Below are 7,317 nucleotides of genomic sequence, written 5' to 3' on the forward strand. Positions count from 1 at the left end.
GAGCTTACAGGGTGTGCCGAGAAGCGCGTCTACCAAAATGGCTCTAGGGAACAAAGCGAGGACAGTCATATAGCTGCAAAGCATTTCAGCAGCACACGGAGTCAGTTTAGGGTTGGCGGCAAAAGAAGAAGGAAATGCCTGATAGTCCAGTGTCTGCCACTTGCAGAGGATCATGCTAGGTCCCTTCTTGAAGGCACTCTCTGAGGTCAGCACTGAGATTCCCCGAGTCATGTATGGGAAACTGAGGCACAGCAGGGTTAAACACATAACCCTGAGTCACAGGACTCACCAGTGGTGGGGCCAAAATCCAACCGCTGGTCTGTGTGGCTGCAAAGCCTGTGACCTTTCTCCTGCAGCAGGCGAACGAAGCTGTTATTGGCAGCTGTAGGGGAACCTGCTCAGAACTCAAGGCTCACAGTGGAGCACGGTCAGCCATCACTCAGCCCACCGGCCACCCGTCTCCCTTGTAAGGAGGCGAGGCTGGACTACAAGATTCATAAAAGGCCAGGGTCAGTAGTGCTCAATCCTGAATAGCACAGAGTAAGTGCTCAATAAATACTTTTAAATTAAAGAGTCAGGGAACAAGCTCCAGAAAGCATGGCAAATATCCAGCAAATATCCAGAACAGAGTTCTTATTGCTGAGTCACAACAACAGTGACACCAGCTAACATGTGTTGAGGGCTTCCTTGTGTCCAGACACCAGGCTGGGGTTGATATGGATTATTCTATTTAAATGTCATAATCTAAGAGGACAGTACAATTACTACTTACATTTTACAGGTGGGGAAACTGTGGCCCAGAGAATGTAATGCTATACACTTCCTCCCCCAAATGACTTACAGAATACAGGACAGCGAGCTGGCCTAGGGATGAACTGGAGACTCAAGGCCTAGGCTGAACACCGGCCACACGGTTTAACCAGCCACATGACAGTAGGCAAACCCCTTCACCATTTAGACCCTCATTCTCTTCATCTCAAAGTCAATGTGGAAGGCTCAGCATTGTTCCATGGGTGCAGTGATCTCAGGAGCCCAGGATGTTTAATACATGTTATAATTATTCTTTTTGCACGTTTTTGGGGCTCAAACACCTGCAACATCAAACCTCAATTACCAGGAAAAAGTGACCCATTTTCAGAATAGGGGTCATTCTGGCTGTGGTGTATTTAGACTACAAAGATGAGTGGTACATTCTAGTTGCTGTCCAACAATTTTTCCTTGACACAGATAGAGAAATGAATGAAAAGCAGCAGCCCAGAGTATAATGCACAGAGACTACAGATTAAGGACAGAAGGAGCAGGGTGACTCTGTCCACTCTCAGGTCCCCAGAGTCCCCTTGCCCACTTTGACCTGACTTCACGAAGAGTGAAAAGGCTGCAGGACAGTGGAAGATGCCCGGCCCAGATGTCCTTCAGGACGGGCAGAGGAGAAAGGTCTCGCATGGACACATAGCTCACACGTTCAAAACCAACTGCAAATCATGATTCTGCAGATGCACGATGCACCCTAGAATGAATCCATTACAGGCGGCGCGACTGAAAGGGGAGCAGCTGCACACTCCCCACCAGATGGCCTTGCTGATCCGGGTAGTTCTAAACATTGTTTTATTTCCAAAGATGAGCAAAATAAGAATCTGGTTAACCCTTCAATGAGAAGAACGGCCTGAAAACCCTTCATTGGAATTTATTTCTTTCTGATGGAAAGACCAAGCAACCCAAATAAATGGCGAGGTCCTCTGGAGGGTTTTAGAGCCAGGCGAGTGGAGTTTCTCCAGGGGGTCACCTGAAGTCAGCTGACATTCATTTTCTGCCCCCAGACAGACCCAGCCCTTACTAAGCCTGCCAAGAGGTGAGGAGAACAGCTCCAGTACCAACCCAGCTTGGCTGTAGGGACCTCAGGAGTGTGCAGAGGTGTGCCAGCCCCCATGCAGTGTATGCACAGGTGTGCCAGCCCCCATTCAGTGTGTGCACAGGTGTGCCAGCACCCATGCAGTGTGTGCACAGGTGTTCCAACCCTCCCCCGTGTGTGCTGGTCTTCCCCAGGAGTGTTTGATGTGCCAGCCCCGCCCCCAGGAGTGTGCAGAAGTGTACCTCCCCCAGGAGTGAGTGTGCAGAGGTGTGTCTGCCCCCCCAGAAACGTGTTGTGCCAGGATCCTCCAGGAATGTGCAAAGGTGTGTCCCCCCCGAATGTGCGAAGGTGTGCCAGGCCCCCCAGGGGTGTGTGGAGGTGTGCCAGCCCCACCAGGGGTGTGTGGAGGTGTGCCAGCCCCACCAGGGGTGTGTGGAGGTGTGCCAGCCCCCCAGGGGTGTGTGGAGGTGTGCCAGGCCCCCAGGGATGTGTGGAGTTGTGCCAGACCCCCAGGGGTATGTGGAGGTGTGCCAACCCCACCAGGAGTGTGCAAAGGTGTGCTTCCCCCAGGGGCATGTGGGCATGTGGAGGTGTGCCAGCCCCTCTACCTCCAGTGTGCAGAGGTTAGCCAGGAGCTGTATGAAGCTGTAAGACAAACTGAAGCTTCCATGTTTAAAATATTCGAAATTTCAAACATTGAAAACATTGTTTTCAAATGAAGTTATATCCACGTATATACTAACTGACACAAAATTTGCAGAGATCCAGCTTGCCTTGCTGGCTGCAAGCTGTCGGGGCCAGCCTGGGAAACCCCAGGGAGCTCTCACTGTCTTTCACCTTTGAGTACGAAGAGGAAAGTTTGAGAAGCACTGGTGTAGGGAGAAAGGGAAAGGAACCAGGATGAGCTGCCATTTTATGGCAGGCATCAAGCTGGGAACCTGCTTCCTCTCATCTCTTTCTGACTTTTAGACAACGCTAAAGGTAGGTGTAATCGCCCCATTGTGCAGATAAGAAAACGGTGGCTCTGGGTGGGGTGACGTGGCTTGCCCTAAATCACACTGTAAGTAAATGGCAGAACTGGATTTAAACACAAGCTGAAGCCCAAACTGCCTCTCACTTCATGGAGGATGGGACATGCACATTCACATTCACTCCCTGATATGGTTTGACTGTGTGCCCACCCAAATCTCAACTTGAATTGTAGCTCCCAGAATTCCCACGTGTTGTGGGAGGGACCCAGGAGGAGGTAATTGACTCATGGGGGCCGGTTTTTCCCGTGCTATTCTCGTGATAGTAAATAAGCACGAGATCTGATGGGTTTATCGGGGGTTTCCGCTTTTGCTTCTGTCTCATTTTCTCTTGCCGCAGCCATGTAAGAAGTGCCTTTTGCCTCCCACCATGATTCTGGGTCCTCCCCAGCCAGGTGGAACTGTAAGTCTAATTAAACCCCTTATTCTTCCCAGTCTTGGGCACGTCTTTATCAGCAGCGTGAAAACGGACTAATACACTCCCCACACAGTTTCCCATTGTTGATTGTGGGTAGCATTTGGGGGGCTATGCTTTCTGTTTACACATTCCATCTTGCTTCCAATTTTACTTACATAGAGCAAGCATCACTTTTGTAACTACAAAGATAATAAAGAAAAAATAATAAATGTTGCACAAAAAATGGTGTGGCAAATAGAAAACGGACTGGGCCTAGGCCTCCAGGACGTGAGTTCACGTCCAGTAAGACACGTCTCTGAGCCTCAGTTTCTTTATCTGTTGAAAATGCATGCACTCCTTGCCTCCCTCGTCAGATCAGGTGAAATAGGGAATTGAAATGAGGCCATAGGACCACATAAGGCAAGGCAGAGGTGGGCTAAAGACTGCGCAAAGCACCAGTGGGAAGCTCTGTCCAAGCTGCACTGTGTCCCCTCCTTTCTCAAGTTATCTTTGAATTAATAACATCTTTCCTCCAGACATACTATAAATCATTAAAAAAAAAAAAAAAACCCTTCTATTACCATTCAACTCCAAATGACAGGCCTGGGAGTGCAGCCGGGAAGGACATTTTCCCTTGTCTTCTCTGCCACTGCAATGGAAAACCCCAAGCAGACCACAGAATTCCCTGGAGTGGGCATGCATCTTTACACACACGCACAGACCAAAGGAACTCCAGGTCCAAGAGCAAAAGGGACAATGTGACCCCAGAGGATGCTGTTTTATGAATGTTCACCAATGCCCAAAGAGCGTTTGACAGAGGCAGCCTAGGATCTCATCCCATACAGCTGCTGGGCACATAGGAACGGGCACATACCCTTGTGGAAAGAGAAACATGGCGGGGAGGAAAGATGAAAAGCCAAAACCCAGAGGCAGGTGAACATCCACACGTGCCATCTGGTTTGTATCAACCCCTTACCGGCTGTGTGCCCTCGGGCAAACTGCTTTGCACTTCGGTGCCTCCCTTCGCTGATCTGTAGCAGGGAGATTAACGGCAGTACCGACCCCATGGACAGGCGTGGAGATTAGACGGGAAAATCCCCACAAAAATATGCCCATAGTGCCTGCCAACTCCAACTGCTCAACAAACGGCAACCACCACCACCAGCAGCCTCATTTCTTTTTCTTTCCTCCCTCCCGTTTCTGCAAACAGGATCTCAGCTCAACAGTAAGGACTTTGGCCTGGTGTATAAAGACCCAGCCGAGCCGGAATCAGTGGCCGAATACTTTTAAAAAGGATGAAGGGAGCCCGAGGCTCTGACAGTGAAGTGGCTGGCCCTAAATCACACTGCAAGTAAGAGGCAGGGCTGGACTTAAACGCAAGCTGAAGACCTCTCACCTCATGGAGGATGGGGACATGTACTTTCACATTCACTCATCAAGCAGTTTCCCATTTTCAAGAGTTGGGGGGCTTGGCTAAAGCTGCATGCAGACCAGCAATGTCTGAATAAAACTGCTTTGGAGAGGCTGGGAGAGAGCCCTTCTCCACCCTGATGTGGCCATGAAAACGCTGGTCCCACCAAGACACCAGGAGGCAAAGAGAGAGAGATCCAGACAAGAAACTAATTAAAAAATGGTCATTTCAGGCTGGGCGCAGTGGCTCATGCCTGTAATCCCAGCACTTTAGGAGGCCGAGGCGGGTGGATCACCTGAGATCAGCAGTTTGAGACCAGCCTGACCAACATGGTGAAACCCCATCTCTACTAAAAATACAAAAATTAGCCGGGCGTGGTGGCAGGCACCTGTAATCCCAGCTACTCGGGAGGCCGAGGCAGGAGAATCGCTTGAACTCAGGAGGTGGAGGTTGCAGTGAGCTGAGATCGCACCACTGCACTCCAGCCTGGGGGGACAGAGTGACACTCCGTCTCAAAAAAAAAAGGTCATTTCAGACCCTCCTTCTCCTTGTCAATTTCCTCTAGCTTTTTAGATAACAGACCTAGTTTCTGATAACTCCACTCAGATCTAGAATCTAGATTTCCAACCTCTGTAAAATAGGTCAAACAAGTATTTATTTATAGACCTATCACCCAAGACACTGAACTTGGATATGCCCAGTCCATCAAAAATGAATCTTTTTCTTTTCTCTTTTCCATTAGAGACAACCTAAAAGTGTTGATGGGGCATGGCTCGAAAAAAAAAATCTCACTAAGTTTCAGTATTCAGAGCTGGAAAAGTGAACATTCAATAAATATTATAACAAAGGCATGTTCCCCCAGAATACCCACATCTCTCCGGAGCACAGCGAAGACCTTGCTTAAACCACCGCTGTCTTGCTCATCCTGTCAAGAAGCAGGGGCAGCTGCCAGCTCTGGAAGGAAAGCCTTCTTTTGCAGAGAGGTAGAGTAGAGAGGGGAAGGGAGAAGTGAGAGTCAGCAATACAGCGTATGAATCAGACAGCTGAGCTTCCAGCGTTGTTTTGTGTCCTCAGTGCTATGTAAACATGATAATAAAAAAAACTTGTTCAAAAAATAATAAGTGGATCTTGGCTGAGGCACAGTCATCTCCCACAAAGCAAACGATCTATGGTATGAGAAATTAGTAACCTCTCTGAATTAATCACAGAAGAGTGGAATCTTTCTCATAAGATCTGGAAAGAATTCAGGCCTCATTATGAAGGCCAGGACTTTCTTGCAGATAGCAGATTTCCTCCTGGGCTAAAACGAAATCTCAAAAAAAAAAATAGACTTACGAAAAGTCATTGTAGCTGACTGGTTCAAGCTGACTGGTACAATCAAGACCTGCTCTGGTTTCTGTTTCGGAAAAGTAAATATTTGATCAAAGCACACAGTTTTCAGACCTGAAGTCATTTCAGATTAAGTAAGAATTTCGCTTGATGCAGTCAAAGTGCCTGTGTGATGGCCTCCCCATCCCCAAGGCCTTCCCCATCCTTGCAAAGGTACAGCAGTGGCCACGGAGCAGAACGCAAGCCCCTGACTGGGAGTCCATGGGGATTCAGGGTGCGCAGCGTAGGCACAGCCCTGGCGCTGTGGGGCTTGCGGCCCGGGAGACACCACGAGATCATGAAACAACCATACCCACTCTGTGACTTTGGGCAGGTCCCCCAAGCCCTGAGCCCCTCTTCGTTGCTGGGCTGTACCTGGGAACATTCAATCCCCCTTGCAGCACTGCATCCCCCCAACCCCACCCCCGAGCCCCCACTCCTGCTGGCGGCCTTTATCTCGCTGTCTCTGTGTGTCCATCTCTGCCTCTCCCAGCCTCCTTAGCCAGATCCCATTTTCCCCAACACCACTGGCCCTGCTAGATGCATTCGCTCTTGCTCACCCTTCAGATCTCAGGCAAGGACCCCTTCCCTGAAACCCCAGACCACACTGGCCCTGCCCTGATCCTCCAACCCTTCCCACTTCCGTTTTTTGTGTGTGCTTGTCTGACTAGCATCCGCCTTAACCAGCTGACAGTCCTATCAGCTCTGTGAAGGCAAAAGAGTCTCTTCTTTTGTTCGCTTTTACAAAAAAAAGTCCTGAAGAAAATTCTAAAGGTAGGCAGGCAACACACATAAAAACATAGCCCAGTCATAAAGACAGAATGCCCAATACATGTTGGGGGCGGGGGTTAAATTTAAAATTTGGGCTGAGCGCGGTGGCTCTTGCCTGTAATTCCAACATGTTGGGAGGCCGAGGTGGGAGGATGGCTTGAGCCCAGGAGTTCAAGACCAGCCTGGGCAACAAGGCAAAACCCCATCTCTACAAAAAATTTAAAAATTAGCCAGGCATAGTGGTGGTGCCTACAGTCCCAGCTACTTGGGAGGCTGAGGTCGGGGGATCTCTTGAACCAGGAGATCCAGGCTGCAGTGAGCCATGATCATGCCACTTACACTGCAGCCTGGGTGACAGAGCAAGACCGTATCTCAAAAAGAAGAAAAAAAGTAAATAAGTAATAAAACTTGGTAGGTTTTACAATTCTGCCTCTAGGCTTAGTCTCTATGTCACTGAAAACCTGTTTCTCCATGACTTTCAGGCAAATTGTTG

General features: G+C 49.3%; 1 protein-coding gene across 22 annotated transcripts in view, besides 1 other annotated feature; it reads right to left on the bottom strand.

Moving 5' to 3' along the window:
- CHST15 (carbohydrate sulfotransferase 15) overlaps window positions 1–7,317 on the bottom strand; it is an 85,931-nt gene that overhangs the window by 50,517 nt on the left and 28,097 nt on the right. For 2 of the 22 annotated variants that reach the window (XM_047425324.1, XM_047425328.1), the window contains exon 2: window positions 5,557–5,761. The exons of 18 other annotated variants lie outside the window; for them this stretch is intronic. The gene's annotated coding sequence lies outside the window, so the exon portion shown is untranslated. Of the gene's footprint in view, window positions 1–5,556; window positions 5,762–6,020; window positions 6,082–7,317 lie in introns of those variants that run through there. 2 more of the 22 variants (XM_047425327.1, XM_047425329.1) reach the window with 2 other exon arrangements.
- Window positions 1,656–2,331: an enhancer, noted in NCBI's record as "H3K27ac-H3K4me1 hESC enhancer chr10:125819356-125820031 (GRCh37/hg19 assembly coordinates)". NCBI's record gives its function as "activates a minimal SCP1, AML or CMV promoter by ChIP-STARR-seq in naive H9 embryonic stem cells {active_cell/tissue: H9 hESC(naive)}" and the evidence as "EXISTENCE:reporter gene assay evidence [ECO:0000049][PMID:30033119]".

The sequence above is a fragment of the Homo sapiens genome, chromosome 10, assembly GCF_000001405.40.
Source record: "Homo sapiens chromosome 10, GRCh38.p14 Primary Assembly".
NCBI lineage: Eukaryota > Metazoa > Chordata > Mammalia > Primates > Hominidae > Homo > Homo sapiens.